This window comes from Homo sapiens, chromosome 21, assembly GCF_000001405.40.
Source record: "Homo sapiens chromosome 21, GRCh38.p14 Primary Assembly".
Taxonomy (NCBI): Eukaryota; Metazoa; Chordata; class Mammalia; order Primates; family Hominidae; genus Homo; species Homo sapiens.
The window spans coordinates 41,386,667-41,412,680 of record NC_000021.9 but is presented as its reverse complement, the minus strand read 5'-3'; the positions used below and the strand labels follow the sequence as shown (position 1 = coordinate 41,412,680).

Sequence of the window (26,014 nt, the reverse complement as noted above, 5' to 3'; positions counted from 1 at the left end):
GGATGTCTAGATCTTTAGCAACATCAGGTAATTGTTTCTCAATTATTTCCTCAAATAAGTTTTTCAAACTTTTATATTTTTCTTCTTACTCAGGAACACCAATTATTCTTAAGTTTGGTTGTTTAACATAATCCCAAACTTCTCTGAGGCTTTGTTCATTACAATTATTTTTTTCTTTGTCTTTGTCAGATTGGGTTAATTTGAAAGCCTTGTGTCTGAGCTCTGAAGTTCTTTCTTCTGCTTGTTTCAATCAATTGTTGAAACTTTTTCCAGTGTGTTTTCCATTTCTCTTTAAGTGTGTCTTCAATTTTCAGAAGTTGTGATTGTTTTTTATTTATGTTATCTAGTTCTCTGGAGATTTTTTCATTCATATTCTGTATTATTTTGTAAATTTCTTTTAGTTAGTATTTACCTTTCTCGTGCCTCCTTGAGTAGCTTAATAATCAACCTTCTAAATTCTTTTTCTAGGAATTCAGAGATTTATTCTTGGTTTGGATCCATTGCTGGTAAGCTGGTGTGATCTTTTGAGGGTGTTAAAGAACCTTGTTTTGTCATATTACCAGAATTGTTTTTCTGGTTCCTTCTCATTTGGGCAGACTATGTCAGAGGAAAGATCTGGGACTCAAGGGCTGCTGTTTAGATTCTTTTGTCCCACAGGGTGATCCTTTGATGTGGCGCTCTCCCCCTTCTCCTAGGAATGGGACTTCCTGAGAGCTGGACAGCAGTGATTGTTACTGCTCTTCAAGGTCTAGCCACCTAGTGGAGCTACCAGGCTCTGAGCTGGTACTGAGAGTGTGAAAAAAGCCCTGTGATGTGATACGTCTTTAGGTCTCTCAGCCACAGATACCAGCACCTGCCCTGGTGGAGGTAGCAGGGGAGTGAAGTGGGCTCTGTGAGTGTCCTTGCTTGTAATTTTGTTTAGTGTGCTGGTTTTCTCAAATGCTGGTTATGCTAGCAGTGAAGTTGTCATGTGGACAGATTCAGGACCTCTGGCTAGCCAGGATATTACAGGCAGTGGAATTAGCTGTTGTTTTCTTTTTCTCTAGGGGCAGGGTTGTTCTGTTATGAGTTGCTGTAATGGCTTGAGTGGGTTGGCCTCCAGCCAAGAGGTGGCGCTACAAAGAGGGCAATAGCTGCCACAGTATAGGGAGGATACAAGCTTGCCCTAAGGTTGCCTGGGTAAGTATTTCTGTTTCTTAAGTGATGGGTGGGGCCGTAGAGCTCCCACGAGATTATGTCTTTTGTCTTTGAATACCAGGGCAGGTAGAGAAAGACCATCAGGTGGGGCAGGGTTAGGCATGTCTGAGCTCAGATTCTCCTTGGGCAGAGCTTGTTATGGCTGCTGTGAGTGATGGGGTGTGCTTCTCAGGCTTATGGAGATACATTCCCAGGGGGATTATGTCTGCTTCTGCTGTGTCATACAGGACACCAGGAAGGTGAGGGAAAGCTGGCAGTGACAGGTCTCATCCAGCTTCCATGCAGCCAAGAAGGCCAGTCTCACTCCCACCATGCTCCCCCAACATCCAACAGAGCCGATTTTATATCCATGCCTGTAGTGCACAGGACTGAGATCTTGCCGCAGGTTACAAGCCTCCCTATTGAGAAAGCAAGCAGGGCTTTCAGGCCATGCCCCTCCCCTCCCCGTCATGGCTTCTGTGCTCCTACCTGCACTTCCCATTTCCCCTTCTCCCTGCCCTGGATGCTGTCCAGGAAAACTCACGATCAGTCAGCATTATTACAAAGTTCAGCTGGAAGTCTCCTCCCTGTGGCCCTTCCCCACTTCCACTGGCTGCCCTCCCCAGGGACCCCTGTGAGATTAAAGTCAGAAATGGCTTCCCTGGGTTTCCCTGGGGACCAGGAGTGCCTGCAGGGCTCTTCCCACTGCTTCTACTACTTTTATATTTCACTCGGCTCTCTAAATTTATTTCAGCTCTAGATACTGTTAAATCCTTCCCCTCTGATCTGGATTTTTGGGTTCCCCAGTGAGGATGTGTGTTTGGAGATGCTTTCCCCTCTTACATTTCGGGTGCTCACAGTTTTTTGGCTGTCTCACAGTGTTTGCAGTGACAAGCCACTTTGTTCAAAGGGTCTGTGAATTCTTTTGGTTTTCCTGGTATGTTCCTGTGGTGGTTCTTGGAGAAAAAGCTCACAATGTGAGTCTCCACATGCTGTTCTATCCATCCAAGTGGAAACTGCACATTAGTCCTGCTTCTTACCCACCATTTTCCCTCTGAAAAAAAAAAAATAGCCAGCTTCTTCCTTTTAGGTTGACATTCTTACTTTTGGAAATCAGTGCTAATGAAACCCAAGTGTTCCTTATGGAAATGTAGTTTGAAGAGTGAGGCTCCCTTGGACCTCCCAGCCTTGTCTAGCTTCTGTGTGACTGTGACGCATGGGTGAGCCCAGGTGAGACACACAGAGGAACAACACAGACTTCCCACAGAATCCAGAGAAAGAATACATCTGCTGTTTTAAGCCATTAAGTTTTGGGGTGATTGTTACACAACAATAGATAACTGGAACATATTCCCAAATTCCACGTTTGGAGGATTGCAAGCAATCGATCAATGTCAGCCTTTCCATGATCATCTGGTTTGCTTCAGGCCAGATCTGCTGCCTTTTGAATTAGAGATACCTTTTTCCAAGTTTTTGGTCATTGCTCGAGTTTTGTGTTCAGAATGCACATGTCTATTTTCTTACTTGCTGTAATGGAACAAATTATGCCCCCACCCTCAAATTCATATGCTGATGCCTTAACTCCCAATGTGACTGCATTTGGAGGTAGGGTCTTTAAAGAGGTGATCAAGCTTAAATGAAGCCCTAAGGGTGGGGACCTGATTCAAGAGGACTGGGATCCTTGTAAGAGAAAAGAGAGAGGCCAAGCATAGGCCTGGTGAGAAGGTGGCAGTCTGCAAGCCAAGGAGAGAAACCTCAGGAGAAACCAAACTAGCAACACTTTGATCTCAGACACTTCCAGCCTCTGGAGGTGGGAGGAAATAAATTTCTGTAGCTTAAGCCACCCAGCATGTGATATTTGTTATGGCAGCTATAGCAGACTAATACACTAGCATTTGAACACAAATCAAAGAGACCTCTGCAAGAGAGCTCTTGGGGATGCTGGTCAAGCTGTGATTTTTGACTTGAACTTTCTTTTCCAACATCTTTTACAGCAAATGAAGAAAGAAATTCACGTAATCTTTCTCGTCTGTACCCCTGAACAAAGCTGAATGTTTTTGAGGCACTCTTTCCATCTCAAACTTGGGTTTTAAAACAAATCAGCAATGATATTTATTCTATTGCCTTTTTATTAAGGAATCTATATGTTCATCATTTGAAACATACAGGAAAACATGAAGAAGAAAAGAAAATTACCCATAATGATGATCACTGGTGTGAAGTTCTCTCTCTCTCTCTCTGTGTATGTGTGTGTGTGTGTGTGTGTGTATTCAGAGACAGAGTCTCACTCTCACTCTGTCACCCAGGCTGTAGTACATGGTGCAGTCATGGCTCACTGCAGCCTCAAAATCCTGGGCTCAAGGGATCCTCCTGCTCCAGCCACCTGAGTGGCTGGGACTACAGGTGTGCACCACCATGTCTGGCTACTTACAAACAAATTTTTTTAGAGACAGGGTCTCCCTGTGTTGCCCAGTCTGGTCTTGAACTCCTGGGCTCAAGTGATCCTTCTGCTTCAGTCTCCAGAGTCACTGGGATTACAGGTATGAGTCACTGAACCTGGCTACGTTTTTAAAAAGTTTCTTTGCTTTATTAAATTCCTCTTCAAGACTTAACAGAACAATGGAAGCTCATCATAATCAGGGAAACAAGAAGAAAAGAGAATCACTCAGGCTCCTTTCTGGCGGGGGAGTGGAGAGGCTGGGAAACACAATGACAGTGAACCATGGGAAGCAGGGGGCATGGCCACTGGATCTGAAAGGGACCGGCTAACAGTCACTAAATGTCCAAGGCCTGGGCTTGAGCAATAGCCTCAGGTATCTCCATCACTTACACAGCACTCATTCGTTCAGTGAGATGTCATTTATTAAGCAGTTACAATGCTGCAGGTGCTGTGCAGGAGACTGGACATACAAAAGAAGAATTTGACCCAGACCTTCCCCCTCTGGGGTCTCATAATCTTGTAGGGGGAAGGGAATACAAATACAAATTAGCGAAGAATGATAGCAGTATCTTAGGACACTGTAACTGTGTGCTACGGGACCCAAGGACTGGAGAGCCATCCCTTCGTGAAGGTCAGGGAAGAGCTGGGTGGTGGAGAGAGCTGAGCCTGTGTGGACCCCTGATGCATGCTCTGATGCTGAGGGAGTACAGTAGAGATGGACACTGATAGTGACAGAAGAGTTTGGCCCCAAAGCAGAAGCGGCATCCTGCACCGACTCCCCTTAGAATGAATGAGTACGCACAAGAAAACAACCACAGGCATCGCCGCCCTTCAGTGGATCTCTTTGCTGGAGAATTGACAGAGTGCGTGTCGCGCCTGAGTGAGCCGGTAAATTCTCTCCTTAAGGATTCTTCTCTTGGTAGCGGTCTCACTCTGCTCTTGAAGCAGCCAGGAATAGCGATTTTTTTCCTGTAGTATCTGCATCATGGCTTTCTGCAAGGAGTCACCATTCTCTCGGAGCATAAAATACTGAATTATAAATGGGATCTGGTTGGCGAGACGTTTGCTGGTTTCCTGGAAGAGGGAGAAAGAAGGGTTTGCTGGAGTGGTCTCAGCCCAAGGCCTGTGGTTGCAGAGAGAAGGCATGGAGTTCCTGGATGCGCACATGGTTGCCTGGCGAAGCCCTGGTGGTCTCGCCCACCTCCACTCCGGTGGTCAGCATCAAGCCCCGTGAAGGTTCTATTTGCGCTGACCCCTCTTTACTTCCAGGCATCCCCTCTAGCACTAAGAAGCCCCCTGGTAGGCTAGCAAGCCCATATCACCTCTGGGCATCCCCACAGCTCCTCCCTGCTGGAGAAACTCCCCCAGCCCAGGACTCCCCTGGCTCCCTTCTGGGTATGCACCAGGGCCGTTTCGAATCCTCCCCTCATTCCTTCTTCATAGGCATAGCCAGTATGCCTGGCAGCCAGGTGCCCATGGCTGGGAAACCACTCTATTCTGATTGAGAAAGGGCTTCGGGAGGTGGGTGTCTTTGCAGTTTAAAAGCTATTTTTTCTTCCTGGGAACAGTGATACTTGCATATTGGATAGACAGTCAGAGGCCAAAAAGTTCACTGGGTCACAAAATCTAGGGAAAGGAAATTTCATTCCTATCTTGTGGGGCTGGCAAGTGTGGCATGTTAGTGCCTTCTGAACACCAAGGAAAGCTAGTTTATAGTCACAATCGTTGACGTTTGTTGTATTTTGCTGTATTCTGATCATAGTAATTTTGTAATTCATGGACCGCATAAGAAATATAAGGAATTTTGGGGTCAGAATTAATTTTGAGTACACGCTCTACCACTTTAAAAATTGATTGTGGGCAAATTAATTAAAAGTGCCTTCATAGGGTTCATGTAAAATTATAAATGAGAAAATATATAAGTAGTTTATCATAATACAGAAGGGCTTAATACATTGTAGTGGTCCCTCCCTCCTTCCCTCAGCAAAGCCTCTCTAGGTTAGCATAGCCCCTACTCAGCTCTGCAAATTTCAGAGAGCACGGCTCCTGCCCCGCCGGGAACTCACCAAGAAGTAGGCATTCAGGTGGATGCCTATTTCAGTAAAGGAGGAAACCGAAGACTCATTACTGGGAAAATGAGAGTTCAACTTCATATTCTGTGAAGGCGTCCCCAGAGGGTTAAAAATCTCTTCTCGGACTTTCTTCAGAACAACACTGTAAATCTGATCTTGACAAAAAACCATCTGCTCCATTCTGAACTGAAGTTGGATCATGTTTTCTGCCTTTGCTGTGTGTTTCACTTTTATGTCTTCAATCGTGCTCTGGTTAGATAAAAAAGACAAACACATTACTTCTTTTTCTTCTTTCCTGTTGGCTTAAACAAATTTGGAAGTACTATTATGTTGAACTCAGAAATAAAACGAATCCATAGTCAAAGAAGTCCTGAGACTTGAAATGATGATTTTTAGAAAGTCCCACTTCGCCCTTTCTGTCCTTATGAACCCGGTTTCCTCACTCCCCACTTGCGACATACCTTCTCTCCTGCCCTTTCTTCCTCTCTGGCCATCCCCAGTCCCTCCTACACCACCAGCTTTCTGCTCCTTCAACAGGAACAGGCTTAGTCCATGCTGTTGGGACGGTGTCAGTCATTCCTGGGGTGCTACTTCTGCTAGAATGGTTCCAGTGCTGACGAACACTGGGATAATAGTGTGATATACCTGTTTCCCAGGAATCCCAGGACTCCTACATCACCCATGCAGTCAAGGAAGAAAGAGGTTGGCTGGGCATGGTGGCTCATGCCTATAATCCCAGCACTTTGGGAGGCCAAGGAGGGTGGATCACTTGAGGTCAGGAGCTCGAGACCAACCTGGCCAACATCGTGAAACCTCATCTCTACTAAAAATACAAAATTAGCTGGGCGTGGTGGCACACGCCTGCAATCCCAGCTACTTGGGAGGCTGAGGCAGGAGAATGGCTTGAACCTGGGAGGCAGAGGTTGCAGTGAGCTATCATGCCATTGCACTCCAGTCTGGACGACAAGAGCGAAACTCCGTCTCAAAAAGGCCGGGTGCGATGGCTCATTCCTGTAATCCCAGCACTTTGGGAGGCTGAGGCAGGTGGGTCACCTGAGGTCAGGAGTTTGAGACCAGCTTGGCCAACATGACGAACCCCCATCTCACTAAAAATACACAAATTAGCCAGGTGTGGTGGCAGGTGCTTGTAATCCCAGCTACTTGGGAGGCTGAGGCAGGAGAATCACTTGAACCTAGGAGGCAGATGTTGCAGTGAGCCGAGATGGCGCCATTGCACTTCAGCCTGGGTGACAGAGTGAGACTCCATCTCAAAAAAAAAAAAAAAAAAAAAGGAAAGAAAGAGGTGATGTAGCAGAGAAGGGGGGTCACAGGGTCACTGCCATGGACTGAACATTTGTGTCCCCTGCCCCCCAATTTACATGTTGAAACCAAAGTAGGAAGGTAATGGTATTGGGAAGTGGGAGGCAATTAGTCATGAGGGTAGAGCCTCATGAATGTGACTGAGGCCCTTATAAAGCAACCCCAGAGAGCGCTCTTTCCACCGTGTGAGGATACACAAGAAGGTGGTGGCCATCCGCAACCTGAAAGAGAGCCCTCACTGCCACCTGACCATGCCGACACACTGATCTCAGGCTCCCAGCCTCCAGAACCATGAGAAACAAATTTTTATTGTTAATAAGACACATCCAGTCTGTGGGACTTTGTGATAGAAGCTTGAACTAAGACTGTCATGTCCTGGCTTTGAGTTTCTTTTTCTTTTTTTTTTTTCTTTTTGAGATGGAGTCTCTCTTTGTTACCCAGGCTGCAGTGCAGTGGCACAATCTCGACTGACTGCAACCTCCGCCTCCCAGGTTCAAGTGATTTCTGGCTAATTTTTGTATTTTTAGTAGAGACAAGGGTTTCACCGGGTTGGCCAGGCTGGTCTCGAACTCCTGACCTTAAGGGATCTGCCCGCCTCGGCCTCCCAAAGTGCTAGGATTACAGGCGTGAGCCACCACACCTGGCCTAGGCTTTTGAGCTTCAAATAGACTTTTTAAAACTGAAGGCAGAAGCAGTGGCTTGAGAGTGAGAGAGTGAGTTTCAGAGGTGAAGTTTCACAGGTGCTGGTTTGTTTGTTCTTTCTCTTTTTTTTTTCTTTTTCTTTTTTTTTTTTTTTTTTGAGTATATGTGACAACTGTGAAAGAAAAATAGATTCTTGGGACCCCAAACTTACTATACTAAAGGGAAAGTTAACTGCCTTTCTTTTGTTCCCAAACAGAAGCTGTGATTTCACATGTGCACTTTATCCGATGTAAAATGTAGATTTACTGAGCGCGAGATGAATGCATGATTGACTTTCTCTCCACGCCTTTCTTTTCACATTTAACACATAGATTCACTGAGTGCTGGTCAGAGCCTTACACGAGGGTGACCTCTGCCTCATTGCCTCATTGCCTACCCTCCTTCCTTCTTTCTTCCCCACCTGCTCGCTCTTTCCTTTTTAAATACTGAAGTTCCCCTAAACCCTCTTAGGAAAAGCACAGGTCACAGATAGCACTGGAACTTGTATTTCTTTTTCCCACGTACATCCTCGACCTGGGCAAAATAAATCTCGGATCGAGGCAGATCTGCCTCAGTCACTTTCGGTCTACACAACAAAGGACAGTAGACCCTCTGGGAGCAGAAGTGGCCTGTGCCGCACTCCTCAAGATTTGTGACACAGGAGGCAGCGAGCCCCCCAGGCTCTGTTGTGGCTGAGGGCAGTGTGCAGGTCATGGCCTTGGAGAGCCCCGCAGTCCCTGGTGAGGAGCCGGGAGCTGCTGCAAGGCTGTGTCTATCCAAGGGCAGCACAAAAGAGGTGAAGGCCCTTGGTGGATGCCAGAGTTCCCATGGCCCAGAGCAGTTGGGCCTGCAGCCGAGTGCTTCCTGTGTCCCGGCGGGGCTGGGCAGGAGCTCAGGGACCAAGGGGACCAAGGCCCGGGAAGGACAATGGACATCTTGGTGACTGGGGACCAGGCAGGTCACCCACCCCATGAGCAGGCACCCGGGACTCAGACACAGCCCCTGAGAAAGTGGGCGGGAGTCAGAACTGGGATTTAATTTTCACTAACAGGCAAAAAGGGTGAAAGAAGAAATTAATTTATATGACGGAAAAATGACGAAAATTGTCCTTCTTGCTTGCCTGCACTATGGAATGAGATTTCAATCCACCAGCCCAGGCCTGGGCAGAAGAGGAATTTTATCTACAGCCCAAGTGCCACATGCCCTCTCTTGCCTTTGCTGAAGGTAACTCGGGGGAAGAGTTGCTAAGTAGAAACCCACAGAGCTACGGCAACATCTTTGAGTCAAACATACAAATTTGGGAGTAGGACTAGTAAACAATGCTGTGCTTTATGCTTGAAAAAGATTCAGCCTACCAGCCAGTCCTCGGTGGAGCCCCACATCCTGCGTAAGGTCGTGCAGAACAGATGGCAGGGCACGGGCCGCATTTCATTTCTCCTGGGGAGTGAAGCCGCCTCCTGAGCAGAAGCCAGGCAGGCAGGTGCTCCTGGAGTCACCAGCTCCACCAGCCCCGCCAGCCCTGCCAGCCTCGCCAGCCTGCCATTACATCCCTGGCCTCATGGTTCCAAATGACAGTGAATATCCAACTTCTCTCAAGGTTAAACAGCCAGTGGTCCAGGTGACTAGCAAGTGAACTCTGGGTGCTTACCTGAACAGTTTGGTTAAGGTTGAAAAATTCGCCAAAATGTTTTTTGGCCACGTTAATGAAAGCTTGCTGGATAATTTCTGACCAAAAAAAGCAAAAAGGAGAAGAAGAAGAAAACATCAGTAAAATGCAAGCAGAAATAAAACTGGTTAAAGACACAGGGAGGATGACTGATGATACACTGACCCATTCCAGGAGACTGAGTTCCCTAGACCTGCAAACCGCGATAGGAGAGGGTGGGACATCATTCCAGGGCCACACAATCCAGCCCTCATGCAGCCTGGGCAGGTCCTGTCCATTTCCCGTGCCTGTGTGCATGTTAGCCTCTGACTATTCCTTACATCAGGGGTCCCCAACTCCCAGGCTGGACCAGTTCCAGTCCGTGTCCGGCAGGAGGTGTGCAGTGAGCTAGTGAGCACTGCTGCCTGAGCCCCACCTCTTTTCAGATCTGCGGTGGCACTAGATTCTCACAGGAGCACAAACCCTGTTGTGAGCTGCACGTGCGAGGGATCTAGGTTGCGTGTTCCTTATGAGAATCTAATGCCTGACGATCTGTCACTGTCTCCCATCACCGCTAGATGGGACAGTCTAGTTGCAGGAAGACAAGCTGAGGGCTCCCACCATAATGAGGATTCTATATTTTGGTGAGCTGTGTAATTATTTCATTATATATTACAATGTAATAATAATAGAAATAAAGGGCACAATAAATGCAATGCAGTTGACTCATCCTGGAGCCATCCTTCTTACCCCTCACTGGTCTGTGGAAAAATTGTCTTCCATGAAAGCAGTCTCTGGTGCCATAAAGACTGGGGACCGCTGCCTTACGCGGCTGTGTTGGTGGCTGCGTGTGATACAGATGAAGTGCATGTGCACCCTCTGCCTGCCCCCCAAAGACAAGAGAAACCATCTTCCCCGCCTCCTCCACGTGTTTGAAGGACAGCGATGGAACGCCTATGGCACTCAGTGTGCTTCCCCATCTCCTGGAAACCTCAGTACGAGTTCTCAGGCAGAAGGGCAGAATCGGTAGCTCTGACCAGCTCTCAGGCCTTGCCAGTGCTGCTGGCTCACAGACCACACAGAGTAGCAATCTAGCACACCAGTGAGCGTGTCTGCAGGCTGGTTTGGTAACTCCATTCCAATCTCTCCCTCCAAGGCACTGGGGTCTATGGAAGGTATGAGAGTGATGGTTTGGGAGTCCTGCTTGAAAGTCCTCACCCATGGCTTTCTGGAGCATGCTAAGGGCGGGCTCCACCAGCTGCTGGATGTACTGATGCACGATGATCTCAAATGTCTTGTAGTTGACAAATCCCAGAAGCTCCTTGCCTCGATACTGCTTTTCATATTTTTCAACTTCTTCGTGGATAATATTTTTAACTGCAACATCAAACAGACCTCCATGGTGAATTCTGCTAATTCTGCAGACGTCGTAAAGCTAGCAACAGTTTTATAAAGTCTTGCTCCCCACTGTACGCAGAGGCAATGTTGCAAAGTGGAGTTTTGTTCACAATGAGAAAAATATTCATGGTCTAATAACAGGAGTTTAAGAAATACTGACTTTTGGGGGAAAAAAATCTTATTCTATGAAAATGTGTTTCAATTGAAAGTCATCACCCCAAGAGAGAAGCTATTGTTTCTAACTGGTAGGAAAAAAAAAAAAACCTGATTAGAAACTAGGTGTGGTGGCTCACACCTGTAATATCATCACTTTGGGAGGTCAAGGTGGGAGGATCACTTGAGGCCAGGAGTCCGAGACCAGCCTGGGCAACATAACAAGATCCTGTCTCTACAAAAATAAAAAAAAGATGAGCCAGGCATGGTGGTATGTGCCTTTAGTCCCAGCTATCTGGGAATGATCACACCACTGTGCTCCAGCCTGGGTGACGGCAAGAGCCTGTCTCTGAAAAACAAAAACAAAACTAAACACAAAAATCTGATCAGTTAAATGAATATGGAAACTTAATCTTGTACCCCTTACCTCCCAAGCATACAGCCACAGTTTACCGTTGGAGGGATCTTTCCACGGAGGTAAACAGTGCTGTTTTCTCCAAGTGCCAGAACAAAAACACAACAGCACACACACAATGAGATGGTTTGGCTCTGTGTCCCCAACCAAATCTCATCTCAAATTGTGTTTGGCTCTGTGTCCCCAACCAAATCTCATCTCAAATTGTGTTTGGCTCTGTGTCCCCATCCAAATCTCATCTCAAATTGTAATCCCCATGTGTCAAGAGAGCAACCTGGTGGGAGGTGATTAGGTCATGGGGGTGGTTTTTCTCATGCTGCTCTCATGATGGTAAGTGAGTTCTCACAGGATCTGATAGTTTAAAAGTGTTTAGGGGCTGGGAGCAGTGGCTCATGCCTGTAATCCCAGCATTTTGGGAGGCAGAGGAGGGCAGATCACCTGAGGTCAGGAGTTCGAGACCAGCCTGGTCAACGTGGCAAAACCCCATCTCTACTAAAAGTACAAAAATCAGCTGGGTGTGGTGGCACACAACTGTAATCCCAGCTACTTGGAAGACTGAGGCAGGAGAATTGCTTGAACCTGGGAGGCTGAGGTTGCAGTGAGCCGAGATCACACCACTGCTCTCCAGCCTGGGCAACAAGAGTGAAACTCCGTCTCAAAATAAATAAATAAATAAAGTGTTTGGCAGCTCTTCCTTGCTCTTTCTCCTGCCACCTTGGAAAGAAGGTGCTTGCTTCTCCTTTGCTTTCTGCTATGATTGTTAAGTTTTCTGAGGTCTCCCTAGCCATGTGGAACTGTGAGTCCATTAAACCTCCTTTCTTTATAAATTACCCAGTCTCAGGTAGTTTTTTATAGCTGTGTGAAAATGGACACACACATACACACACACATGCCCTACTGGAACCTGGGCTGGAGCACATGGGAATCAGAACTTTGCCAGGTGAAGCCAGCAGGCTCTTGTCAAACCAAGAATCTCTCTGATCTTGAATTAGGGGCAAAGAGAAGGGGGATTGGGATGAGTGGAATTGTTTGGGTGATCTGGGCACATTTTAGCAGTTAAAAAACTGCTACTTCATCTAGTCTTTACTTATTGCTAAAACCAGATCATCACACCCCAGACCTTCCAGAGGGGGAGATGGTAAACGATTTCATGTGGATTCCCCCCTCCCCTGGTCCCCTGGCACCCATGCTGAGCTCTGTCTCAATGCCACCAAAATAAATAAGTATCCCAGGTCACTTTTTCTACCAAGCTGATGTTTAGCTGCTACTAATGAAGGCTCCGTGCCTGGTGTGTCCACAACAGGCACCATGGCCAGCTGGCAGCTGTGCACTCAATTCAACAGTGGCTGGAGAGCCTTCATGTGGGGCTGGCCCCCAGAGTCATCTGGACCCCTGCTTTGGGCACAGGCTTCCCTCCAGGCACTCAGGATAGCAGCCCTGAGGTACCCTGGGCTGCTCTGCGAATTCCTCAGGTGGGCATGGAATGCCATTTAGCCTCAAAACCAAGAAGCAAGGCCAGGCACAGTGGCTCACATCTATAATCCCAGCACTTTGGGAGGCTGAGGCAGGTGGATTGCTTTAGCCTAGGAGTTCAAGAGCAGCCTGAGCAATGGTGGTGAAAACCTATCTCTACAAAAAAGTACAAAAATTATCTGGGTATGGTGGTTCATGCCTGTGGTCCCAACTACTCAGGAGGCTGAGGTGGGAGGATCACTTGAGCCTGGGAGGTTGAGGCTGCAGTGAGTCATGATTGCGCCACTACACTCCAGCCTAGGCAACAGAGGGAGACCCTGTCTCAACAAAACAAAACAAAATCAAGACACGAGGACATCAGAGGCAGTGGAATTGCCCTGTGTTGAGTTGCTGAGGTCGATGCCCCATATTTCTGGGTTTTGTTCGTTGAGAGACAGTTGCTGATTACCAAGGGTTCCACGGTCTTGGATGGACGTGTTCCACTCTTGGCACACTTATCATGTGCTGGACATAGCCTCTGGTCTGGGTAAATACCACCCTGTTTTGCAGGGAGCCCTGCCCAGAACTTACCTTTTTGGGTATTAGTTGCAAGTATGCCTACCCAGTTTTTAAAATCCTCTCTGATTTTGTTGTATAAACGGGTCTCATTCTCCCTTACAACTTCTTCTCCTTCTACTAACTTTTCGATGTCCTGATTAAACATCTTGATTTTCTGAAAATGATATAAAGTCAATAGTCTTTGCGGAAATCATATGAAAGAACTGGGACCGGCGTTGCAAGGAGATGTCCACCCGCCCACCTCATCTCATGGGTGAAGAAGGGGAAGGGCAGCTGCAGGGCCACCAGGGAAGGATGCAGTGTCACGTGGAGTCCTGCGGAAATCCTCACCTCAATTAGAAAGAACATCTTGTCGGCCTCCTGGCTGGGGATGTCAGCCCCGCAACGCCGCAGCTCCTCGGTCGCCTTCTGGTGGCTCTCCCTTATTTGTCCTTCTAACAACGGGAGCGATTTCTAAACAAAACAATTGCAAACAATCAAACTGCGGCTTAAGAGATTGGCCAACTGATTTCTTTGGTATATGAGTAGGAGCCCTTTAAAGCATCCAGGAAGATCTGGAATTTTTGACCCACCTGCCCCAGCCTCCCAAAGTGCTGGGATTACATGTGTAGGCCACCTTGACTGGTGGAATCTAATTGTAACAAACTTTCCAGGTAATTCTTGTGTGCCTTAAAGTTGGAGAACCACTGGCTCCTTCAAACCAAATTTTCTTTGAGTATGTGCTTCCTGGCTCAAGTAAGTCATTGCTTTTGTCTGATATACAATTTAGCATGGGCCAAGTCCTAGGATCTGGAATCATCTTTGCTCTAAGGGTACATTTAAATCTTCCCATGTTGCTTGGCCTCATTTGTGAAGGTTTAGGCAAGCACTAAAAATATTCGATTTCTCAATAACCGCCAAACCAAAGTTTTTCTATAATCGATGATGTCATGAGGCCCTTGTCTGTAGTTGTCTGCTTTTGAGAATCCATAAAAATGGACTTATTTCTTACAAACCAATTATTTCTTAGAAGTTTGAGGCTAGAAGAAATTTTTTTTTTTTAGATGGAATTTTGCTGTTGTTGCCCAGGCTGGAGTGCAATGGCACGATCTTGGCTCACCACAACCTCCACCTTCCGGGTTCAAGCGATTCTCCTGCCTCAGCCTCCCCAGTAGCTGGGATTACAGGCATGTGCCACCATGCCCAGCTAATTTTGTATTTTTAGTAGAGATGGAATTTCTCCATGTTGGTCAGGCTGGTCTCGAATTCTTGACCTCAGGTGATCCACTGGCTTTAGCCTCCCAAAGTGCTGGGATTACAGGCATGAGCCACCATGCCTGGCAAGAAAAATTTTTTATACCAGGAAGTATTAACAACATATTGAAAAAAGAAAACTTGCTCTCTCAGTGGTCACTCCTTTTTATATTGCTAAACTGTTTCCTTCTCTTCTTTTTCCCCCCTGTTGACCAATTCAAACATTTGTTTTAATACTATGTACTTGTTGCTTCCCCAATTTGGAAGTTCTTCCAGTGAGCCTGTGACAGTGAGTGAGACAGTGTTCAGAGGGTACTTGTTTGCTTGTTTGGACAGATCAGTGGGGCATCTTAGCCAACTCCAGACCAAGAGAGTGACTTGGGCATGCTGTATTGATGACTTGTCACCCAACCCACGTGGCTCACTTGGATATGCATGATGAGTTCAGTGGTAAGTCTTTCTGCCAGTCGGGGAACCGTGGCTGACCCCTCCTCCAGGAGAACTCTGAAATGAGACAGACATTCATGCATTCAGGAAGGACTTGTGTACCATCTTGCTAGTACCGGACTTTGTGCGTGGTAGGTGAGCCCAGCTCCCCGGGGCAACACGTGCCATCAGAAAAGCCAAGTGGTGCATAAGAAAGACACTTGCCACCAGCCTGCACCCAGGCAACTGTGGGCCAGGAAGCTTCCTTCCCTCCTCCCTTTCTATCATCCCCACAAACTCATGAGGTAGGTCATCTTAGCTACAGGAAAACAAACCCAGCCTCATGGAGATTAAGTGAGTTGCCCAGATTAGTATTTTATTTCTCATCACAAAAGTATATATGGTGCTTACTAAGTGCCAGGCACCAATCTAAGGGCTTTATAAATATTAACACATTTAGTCATTTAACAACCCACTTTAGAGCAAGAAAGGCTGAGACACAGAAAGGTTAAGCAGCTTGCTGCATTTGCTTGCTGCAGCCACACAGCAGGCAGCGTGGCTGCAGCATGTTTGCCAATAGCAGGAATTTAGGATGAAGCACACAGGATTATTCCCCAGCACTGCCAGTGCCTCTTACTGCAAGGGACGGCTCCCAGCAAGCAGGCATGCAAGGATTTCAGATTTCCCAAAGACCTTGAGAAGCGGTTTGCAAAGGGAGGTCCCTGGACTGGCAACATTAGCCTCAACCAGGAGGAACCTGTTAGAAGCAGGAAGTCTTGGGCACCTCCCCCGGCCTCAGGGCAGAGCAGGACAGAGCTAGCACAATTTTAAGGAACTCTCCAGAGAGTCTGCTGCTCACTCAGCATGGAGAACCATGGGCCTGATTATTTTGAAATCTTCTCCCAGCTCAAGGAGGAGAGTTTTCTTCTCCTCATGTCCTCCAGTGCTATTGGAAACAGTATGTTTCATCCACTCAGAGCAGGAGCAGAGAGGAAGAAAGAAGGAACCGGGTGGTGTTTACTGAGTGCTGGCTGTTGGCGCTCAAGACCTTTGTGTATGTCGTGTTACGTAATCCTAACCACAATCTTGTGAGGCAGTAGTAGGATCCCCTGGAGAAGATGGGAAAGGCAAAATTCCGAGAAGGTGGCCCATATTGTAAGATCACATAGTCAGCAAGCCGTAGACCTACTCGGCCCAAATTCAGTTTTCCCATTAGCTCTCCTTCAAGCAGGAGTGACCTCTGTGCTCCTGGATCATTCAGGAACAACAAGTTCCAGAATGAAGGGGAAAAGTGCTCCATTCAATGGGAACAATCCCAGCGTCCTACAAACTACAGAGTCTCTATAGGATAATTTCTATTTAATAAAGCCAGTTATTATTAAGTTTCTATTTAATAAAAACAAGTGATATTCTGGCAAATGACTGTGGGCACTGGAGGCTCTAAAAACACGGAGAGTTCCATCGAGCAGGTTTTCCTGTGTGCCGTTTACGGTGGTACACACGGGTTTCTGGAAGTTAGGTGCTCTGTGTTCAGTCCTGTTCCCATTCACTATTTGTTTGACCTCATTATTCTTATCCATGGAAATGGGAGAAACTTCACCTGCCTTATGTATCTCTTAATATAAGGACTCAAATCAGAAAGGAAGTGAAAACATTTTGGGAAACCAAAGAGTTCTACGCTTTATGTCATGACACATTCCAGTTTTTAATCAGCACCATCATTGGAATCTAAGAAACAATAATTTGTCTAAATAAGCCAAGAAATCTAGCACAAAAATCAGGTGAGGCTAGGTTATACTACCTTGTGTAATTTGTGCATACACTTTGGTCATGATCTGGGCCAACTCTTGCAGATGGGCTGGCTTTCATGGAGTCTAATTCCAGAGCTTTCCTGAAGAGTCTCACCTGAAATATGGATGTGTTTGAAAGAATGTAATTTCTTTCTTGGTTGCCTCTGCCAAGCTCAGCCTGTTTGTGATCTCCTGCTGGCCCCGGCACTTCACAATCATGTAGCCCTTCTTGAGGGGGTACGTGAGGTTCCGCACCACATTCATGACGCTTTTCTCAGTGCCCCTGTCCATTAGATCTGGTTTGGTCAGGATACCTGTGAGATGGTTAAAGAAGGGAAATGGAAAGGTCAGTGATCCCCTCAAACAGGTTTGACTCCTACTGGACTATGGGCTCCTTTTTTGGCCAACAAGGTCTTCTGCAGTCTTGATCCTCCAGTGCCTCATTCCATCCTCATTCCCTCATTGCCCCTCTTCTTTGCATTTCTATTGGCTCGCTATCTCACCCTCTCACTCAGTTCATTCAGTGTCCTGGATAGTTGACTTAACAAATATTTCGTGGATGCCTACTGGGTGCCCAGCACTAAGGCAGCATGCATGGTTAGAATGGACTGGCTCCATGCACCATGTTTCCAAGAAATGCCTTGTTCCCTACTGAGGGGAGTCCCTCTCTAGTGTCTCCTGAACAGACTCACTCCGCTCCCTCTTGTGGGCACCTCCTCTGATCTCCTCCTTCCCACTTTCCTCTCCCCCTCCTCTGTCCCCACTCCTTCCTGCTTGCACTGGATTGAAAACTTTGAATTCCAAGTGCTCTTTTTTGTTTATGTTGCTTGAGTGTCAAATTGCCACTGCATTTCTTGTTTGTGTATGTTGAAAAGCACTTTTCTTTCTTCCTTCTTTCCTTCCTTCCTTCCTTCCTTCTTTCCTTGCTTCCTTCCTTCCTTTCTCTCTCTCTCTCTCTCTCTTTCTTTTTTGAGATGGAGTCTCGCTCTGTTGCCCAGGCTGGAGTGCAGTGGCTCACTTCAACCTCCGCCTCCCCGGTTCAAGCGATTCTCCTGCCTCAGCCTCCTGAGTAGCGGGGACTACAGGCATGTGCTACCACGCCCAGCTAATTTTTGTATTTTTAGTAGAGATGAGGTTTCACCATGTTGGCCAGGCTGGTCTCAAACTCCCGACCTCATGATCCACCCACCTCAGCCTCCCAAAGTGTTGGGATTACAGGCATGAGCCACCGTGCCTGGCCTTATCTTCCGCTATTTTGTCCTTCGTTTTAATTTGTGGGTAAGTCTGGCTATCTGGTCTACTATTCTTGAACCTCTCTTTCCAGATAAATTAATCTAGTAATATACGAGAAATAAAGAAGAATGGATATTGATAAGGGCTATGCAGAGAATTAACATAAAGTGACGTGCTGGCAAATGACCGTGGGCAGCGGTGCGTGATGTAGTCTCAAGTTGGGTGGACAGGGAGGTCCGCTCTCAGAAGGCAACATTTGGACTGACATCTGAAGGAAGGGAGGAGTCAGCCTAGTGGGGAGGGAGAAGGAGCACTCCAGACCCTGGTTGAGAGGGAGCAGGGATGGCAGAGCCGTATTGGAGGGTCATGAGCAAGGCAGAGAGCGGTGGAACTGAGATCAGAGAGGCAGGCAGGGCCAGGTCACCTGGGGCTCTGCTTTCTAGATAAAGGAGTCCGGGGTTTATATGCATGTGAGATGGCAGCAGGAGAGAATGTAAACAGAGAGGGGCATGACCCGATTGACATGTCTGGAGGCCAGTGGAGAGGGCACTGCCATGGGCAAGGTGAGTGCTCGAACAGCAGGAGAATGTTTGAGCAGACCAGGCAGGAGACCATGGTGGCTTGGTCTAGGCAGTGACAGTGGGGATGGAGAGCAGTGGATGGATTTGGCACCCGTTTTGGAGGCAGAGTCACCAGGACTTCAGATACATTAGACTTGGAGGCAAGGGGAGGGAGGACTCAAGTGGGACTCTTTGATTTGGCTTTAGAACTGGGTGGGCGGATGGGTTCTGTGAATGAGGTGGGGAAGCCTTGGAGAGGAGGTGAATCAGGATGGAGTACGAAACCAAGAGTTCTGTTCTGGTCACGTTTAACTGGAGACATTGGCCAGACAGCCAAACGGAGTTGTCCAGTTAAGCAAGGTCAGGGTTAGAGATACAGATTTGGGAGTCACTGGCATGTAGATGGGATTACAAACCACAGCCGGATAAGATCACTTAATGTGATGATGCGTTGATAGAAGGAGAGCCCAGAACCAAGTTTTCCATACTTAGAGGCCTGAGAATTGAAGAGGCATGGAGACAAGGAGTCTAAGAATGTGACTTCCAGCTGGCCAGTGACGGAAGCGACCCGAGAGAGAGAGAATGGTGGAGGAAGGAGGGAGTTTCAGGAAGGAGGGAGGTTCAGGAAGGAGGGAGTGGGCAACTGGGGTGACTGCTGCTGAGAAAGGAGAGGCAAGGACAGAGACGTGACCATGTGCTCCTCAGTGCAGAGGGTGTGGGTGACCTCGACAGGAGCAGTCTCTGTCTTAAGAGGGCACAGGAGCTCGGCTGAAGCCAAGGGAGTAGATAACATCCATAGCAATGGACAGGTGGGGAACCAGCTTAGTGAGGGCCTGAAAATATCGACCCACTGTTCTTTTTGAAACTTGATATTCTCTAAGCCACTGTTATATTATAATCAAATTTGCTCTATTCTCATCCTTTGGAAGTATTGTGTAGTCATTCAATTTTCTTTTTTTTTTCTTTTCTTTCTTTCTTTTTTTTTTTTTTTTTTTTTGCTTTTTTGAGACAGAATCTCACTCTGTCACCAGGCTGGAGTGCAGTGGTGCAATCTCGGCTCACTGCAAACTTCGTCTCAGGTTCAAGCGATTCTCGTGCCTCAGCCTCCCAAGTAGCTGGGATTACAGGCCTGTGCCACCACACCCGGCTAATTTTTTGTATTTTTAGTAGAGATGGGGTTTCACCGTGTTGGCCAGGGTGGTCTCGAACTCCTGACCTCAGGTGATCCGCCCGCCTTGGCCCCCCAAAGTGCTGGGATTGCAGGCATGAGTCAACATGCCCGGCCTCAATTTCCTTTTTAAAAGAATTGTAAAATACACGTAACTCAAGTCTGCAAGGGAATAATTCAACTCATAAAAATAGGATGCTCCCCCCTGCTCTGTCTTTAGCTACCTTGTTTTTTTAAAAAAAATTTCTTTACAAAAATGGTAATAAAGTGTACGTAAAGTGAATTTTCCTATTTTAGCCAGTTTATAGTTCGCGTAATTAAGTACATTTACATTGTTGTGTAACCATCACCACCGTCCATCTCCAGAACTTTTTCATCTTCCCAAACTAAAGCTCTTCACCCATTGAACAACAATTTCCCACTTCCCCACCCTCCAGTCTTGGGCAACCACCATTCTACTTTGTCTGTATGAGTCCGACTACCCTAGGGACCTCAAATAAGGTAGAATCACCCAGTGTTAGTCCTTTTCTTACTGGAATTTCACTTAGCATAATGTCGTTGAAGTTCACTCATGTTGTTGTGTGCTTCAGAATTTCCCTCCTTTTTGAGGCTAAATAATATTGTTTTACGTATATGCCACGTTTTATTTATCCATCCAACCATCTGTAAACACCTGGGCTGCTCCCACCTTTGGGCTATTGTGGATAATGCTGCTATGAACATGGGTCTGTTTCTCTTAAGCCTAGCACACTTTTCTCTATTTCTATACTTGACCTAGAATGCATAGAAAATTTGCATTTCTGTGGGATGGATCTGGAGGCCATTATCCTTAGTAAACTAACCCAGGAACAGAAAACCAAATGCCACATGTTCTCACTTATAAGTGGGAGCTAAAGGATGAGAACACATGAACACGTAGAGGGGAATAACAGACACTAGGATCTGTCAGAAGGTGGAGGAGGGAGAGGATCAGAAAAAATAAATAATAGGTACTAGGCTTGATACCTGGGTGATGAAATCATCTGTACAACAAACCCCCATGATACAAGTTTACCTATGTAACAAACCTGCACATCCTGCACATGTACCCCTGAACCTAAAACAAAAGTTAACAATAAAATAAAATATCCCAAGTTAAAAAAAAAAAAAAGAAAAAGAAAATGTGCATTTATTTTACAATATTGTTTTGGGCTATACTAAGAGCAGAACATGTATATCCCATGACTATTGATTGACTGAATTTATAATAATAATAGCTGGCTGGGAGCTGTGGTTCACACCTGTAATCCCAGCACTTTGGGAGGCTGAGGCGGGTGGATCACCTGAGATTGGGAGTTTGACACCTGCCTGGCCAACACAGTGAAACCCCGTCTCTACTGAAAATACAAAATTAGCCAGGCGTGATGGCATGTGCATGTAGTCTCAGCTACTTGGGAGGCTGAGGCAGGAGAATTGAATCCAGGAGGCAGAGGTTACAGTGAGCCTAGATCATGCCACTGCACTTCAGTCTGGGGGATAGAGTGAAACTCTGTCTCAAAAAAAAAAAAAAAGCTAATATTTATTGATAACTGTTGATTATCTGAGTTTATGGCGATGAGAGGACCAGAAAACTGACTATTAAAAAGTAGTACTAAGTTTCCTTGGAGATGTTAATATTCAAATAGATCCTTTTTTTTAGAAAACTTTTTTTCTTTCCTTTCTTTTCTTCAGTGTTAACTTTGTTGACATGCTCAGGTCCATCTACTGGGCAGTTGATATTACCTACTTCAGTCCTCAATAAGCCATTCCTAAGGAACAAGAACAATAGCACTTGTATTCAGCGCAGGACACACTGGCATATGATACGTTCCAGGATCTTCCAAAGAAGTGCGGCATCCCTCCCTCCCTTCCCATGCCCTGGATGCCCTGGAAGCTTGGTTCTTTTTTTTTTTTTTGAGATGGAGTCTTGCTCTGTCGCCCAAGCTGGAGTGCAGTGGCATGATCTCGGCTCACTGCAAGCTCCGCCTCCCGGGTTCACGCCATTCTCCTGCCTCAGCCTCCCAAGTAGCTGGGACTACAGGCACCAGCCACCATGCCCGACTAATTTTTTTGTATTTTTAGTGGAGACGAGGTTTCACCGGATTAGCCAGGATGTTCTCAATCTCCTGACCTCGTGATCCGCCCGTCTTGGCCTCCCAAAGTGCTGGGATTACAGGCTTGAGCCACCGCACCCGGCCACTTGGTTCTTTCCTCTTACCGATGGTCCTGTCCCCTTCCGGGTCCACCTCATGGGCCATGCTCAGCGCCTCCGTGGTGGCAATGTCCACGTTACAGGGAACCACCACCAAGTTGATCGTCTGCTGCCTCTGGATGTACTTCTTGATGAGAGCCTTGATCTGATGCCAAAGAATCGCACAAAGAAAGAGCACACGTCTCACTTCTGGTCACTCAGCAGCACGGCCAGGCAGGCAGGCATGATGGCGCAAAGGCAACATTGTCCCACAGTGTGACTCTGGGCTTTGCTAGGCCGAGCCCCGTCCTGGGAATGCCTGCCCCGGCGGCCCTGCCCTGGTCTCTGATGACCTCCCACTTGTCCTTCAAAGCCCACGGCTGGCATGTCTTCTTTCCTGAAGACCCCCTGATTCCTGCAACCAAGTACAACCCCTCCCTCCCCTCTAGATCTCACCCGAGATGCCTTGGAGATCCTGCCTTCTATTAGAGTGACTTGTGCGTATGTTGTATCTGACTCAGAAGTCCAGAGATGCCTTTGCGGCCAGCGGTGACATCTTCTCTGTCCTGGTGTCCCCATGCAGAGTCCAGCACGGAGCCCAGGCAGCAGGTGCTCAGCGAGCAATGCCTGCTCCCCACACAGTTCCCCAGAGGCAGGGACCTCAGATGCTTCCCATGGAGAATATCTCCACGTGTTTCTTTCTAATATTAGTGACTTTTTACCTGCGATTTGTTCTTGGAAGGGGTCTAGTTCAATCAAATAAGAGAAATCTAATAAAATTTATTAGACTGTGTAGGCAAAATGGAGATGTAGGCAACATATGCCTTAAAATGCCAACTTTTAATATTATTTTTCTCAACAACAACACAAACAGACAAGGAAAAAGCTGGCACCTTGGGACATAGTTCCTTATATTTTGGCACAATTTACATATAGTTGTGCTCAGACAGTGCCCCATATAATTATTTTAAGTTGTGCACAGAAGACAGAAAACTGCACAGCCAAAAATGAGCCATTCTGTGTCCCATTAGCCCGAGCTGACAACACAGAAGAAATTGAGCACTGGAGTCAAATAAAATCATCAAATACAAACAGGCCCAATGAAGCCTCGGCCAGGAGAAAACTTAACTGGCTAAAGTTATAAGCAATCTTAATTTTTATGTATGTATGTATGTATGTACGTATGTATGTATGTATGTATGTACTTACTGAGACATGGTCTTGCTCTGCTGCCCAGGCTGGAGTGCAGTGGTACAATCACGGCTCACCCCAATCTTAAACTCCTGGACTCAAGTGTTTTTCCCACTTCAGCCTCCCGAGTAGCTGGGACCACAGGCATGCACCACCATGCCTGGTTAATTTTTTAATTTTTTATTTTTGTAGAGACAGGGTCTTGCTACCTTGCCCAGGTTGGTCTTGAACTCCTGGCCGCAAGTAATCTGCTCACCTCGGCCTCCCAAAGTGCTGGGATTACAGGCATGAGCCACAGCACCTGGCCTTAAGCAACCTTTCTGAACAAGTTTTTTTTTTTTTGACTTTATTTTCTGCTTTACTAATCATTGAATAATAGATGCTATACTTCTGAACAAGTTTTAACGTTGATCGTCCTTTAGTTGAAAACTCTCTTCTTGCTTGTGTGCTTATTCCCTTTGCTACACCCATGGGGCTGTCCTGCTGATGTCTGCAGGCAAACAGACCACACAGCCCAGGGTTCTCCAGCTCTCCTTCCAGCACTGTTGACAATTCAGAAGGATGACTCTGCCATGGTGGCCATCCTAGGCATTGTAAGCTGTCCAGCAGACTCTGTGGCCTTTACCCACTGGATACCGGTAGCATCCAAACCACTAGCAAACCCTACCCCTTACCTGAGTTATGACAAGCAAAAAGATGTCCTGACATTGCCAGTGTCCCCTGGGGGTACAAAAGCTCTGGGCTGGGAATCACCGTATTTAATGCACACTCACTCATGTGCATTCATGTAGGATATCAGAGAGTGAAAATGCTCCCCGGAACAGTTTGCCTGGAGAGGGGGTGACCATAAAGAGCACGTTATGTGCATGCAGCAAACATTAGCAGTGCCCACCAGGTGTGGGGCCCATCCTGGGGTTCAGAGACTCGGCATTGAGCATACGCCCCCAGAGCCTTACAGCCCAGGAGGGGAGACAGGCAATAAACACAATGGAGACATATCAGGGAGGGCAAGTGGAATTGAAAGAGCCAGGCACGGGGAACAGTATGTCAGGCAAGGCAGCCCAGGTAGGGCAGCCTTGCAGCAGAAACCCGCGAGGAATGAAGGATGCCCTCTGCGGAGAGCCATGCGGGCAGAGCACCGGGCAGTGGGAAGCGTGCATGCACACGCAAGAGTCCAGGCAAAAGTGAGCCAGAGGGACCAAGGGCCGCAGAACCCGGATGTGGTAGGGTGGAGCGAGGGGCCAAGGCGCAGTGACAGGAAATGTGGTCCATGAAGTAGGGGGATTGGATCACATGGGACCTTGGAATTTTACACTGATTGACATGGGAGCCGCTGGGGAACTTTAAGGATGATAGCATCTGACTTGTGCCTTAAAACACAAGAGCTGTGTGGGAAACATTCTTGGGATGGGTGCTGCCGGGAAGGGCAGAGGCAGAGAAACCCAGCAGGAGGCCAGCAGAGGCGGTAACCCAGGTTCAGGATAGCAGCAGCTTAGGTGAGGGTGCTGGTGGAAGTGGGAGGAGACGTGGGCCTGGGTGTGTTATTTGAAGCAGAGCCAGCAGGCTTTGTAGGTGGACTGGACGTGTCGTGTGAGAGGAGGAGAAAAGGGAGGGCTGACCCCAGTGGTCATGGCCTGAGCCACTGGGAGGGTGGAGGTGCCACTGTCTGAGACGGGGATGTCTATGGGGCCAGCAGATACTGGGGGGAAGATCGGGTGTTGCTTGGACCCACTGAGTTTGTGTACCGATTAGATGCTCAAAGGGCACTGGTGAATCGGCAGCTGGAGATAGGAGCCTGGATTTCAGGGGAGAGAGCTGGGCTTGAAATAATGATTTAGGAATCGCTGAAGTGGTATTTACAGTCATGAGACTGGGCTGTAGTTCAGGGACATAGCAGGGAGAGTTTTCAATGGGAAGAATGGATCTCTAGGGCATTGCAACATTTGGAGGTCAGGGAAGTGAGGAACAATTCACTTAAGGAGAGACCAACAGGAGGGAGAGAAAGAACCAGGGTCAATGTGCCCAGATGCCAGCGAAGAAGACTTTCAAGAAGGAGAAAGTGATCAATTGCAGTTGAAAACTAACACATTTGGTGGGTGAACACTGCCAAGCACTTGTTGCCGGGAAAGTGGAGTCGTACAATGAGGCCGTGAATACAGAAAGACCTTTCACAGGGACAGTCTGGGGAGACAAATCGGCCAAGAATAGAGCCCACCCCCTTCCTTATGAGCATTAATCGGCTTTCACATGGAGGAGAGGCATGAATCTTTCAAATGAAAGACACATGTGTTCTTGCTGGAGGAGCTAAGATTTCCATGACTTCTCAGGAAGACCGGGAGGGGAGGAACACAGGGTGCACATGACCAGCAGTCTGACCTTGGCAGTGCCTTTGGAAATCAAAGACAATGAAGAATCTGAGAAGAGACACAAAAATACGAAGGGAAAGCGTGGTGGGACTCCAGAAAGGCACACGATTGCGTGCAGGAAGCTTTGACTCTATGACTAAGCTTGTCCAACCTGCCTTATTTTGTTGTTGTTGTTGTTCTGTTTTGTTTTAGGTTTTTAGCAGCCTGAAGCCATGGTTTTTGGTTTCTGTCTTTAGTAGTAAGTGGAAAAGTGGGATGAGGAAGGGGCTTTACTGGCCCAACCAGAAACAGAAACTAAGAACCTGTGACTGTATTCTCTCCTTCGGACACTCCTGGACATCCTGGGGAGTTCAGGCTCCTGAGCCAAGCAAAGGCTGAAGTTCCAGGAACATGGAGGAGGATGTTCCTTCACAAGCCCAGGAACGTGGAGGACAATGTCAAAGAATCGAGGAATTCCCAGCAATGGCTTCCTGGTGCTCAGACAGGCCACCTGGAGGCCTCAGCCAG

At 47.3% G+C, this 26,014-nt stretch overlaps 1 protein-coding gene across 11 annotated transcripts in view; it reads right to left on the bottom strand.

Moving 5' to 3' along the window:
• Positions 1-3,287: 3,287 nt before the first annotated feature.
• MX2 (MX dynamin like GTPase 2) overlaps positions 3,288-26,014 on the bottom strand; it is a 47,367-nt gene continuing 24,640 nt past the window's right edge. For all 11 annotated transcript variants that reach the window (NM_002463.2, XM_011529573.3, XM_024452080.2 and 8 more), the window contains 9 exons: positions 21,978-22,116; positions 16,896-17,094; positions 14,990-15,068; positions 13,662-13,784; positions 13,344-13,485; positions 10,553-10,711; positions 9,338-9,414; positions 5,683-5,937; positions 3,288-4,690 (listed from right to left, as the gene is read on the bottom strand). In NM_002463.2, the coding sequence (NP_002454.1) occupies positions 4,448-4,690; positions 5,683-5,937; positions 9,338-9,414; positions 10,553-10,711; positions 13,344-13,485; positions 13,662-13,784; positions 14,990-15,068; positions 16,896-17,094; positions 21,978-22,116 (1,416 nt within the window). In that variant the 3' untranslated portion in view covers positions 3,288-4,447. The remainder of the gene's footprint in view (positions 4,691-5,682; positions 5,938-9,337; positions 9,415-10,552; positions 10,712-13,343; positions 13,486-13,661; positions 13,785-14,989; positions 15,069-16,895; positions 17,095-21,977; positions 22,117-26,014) is intronic.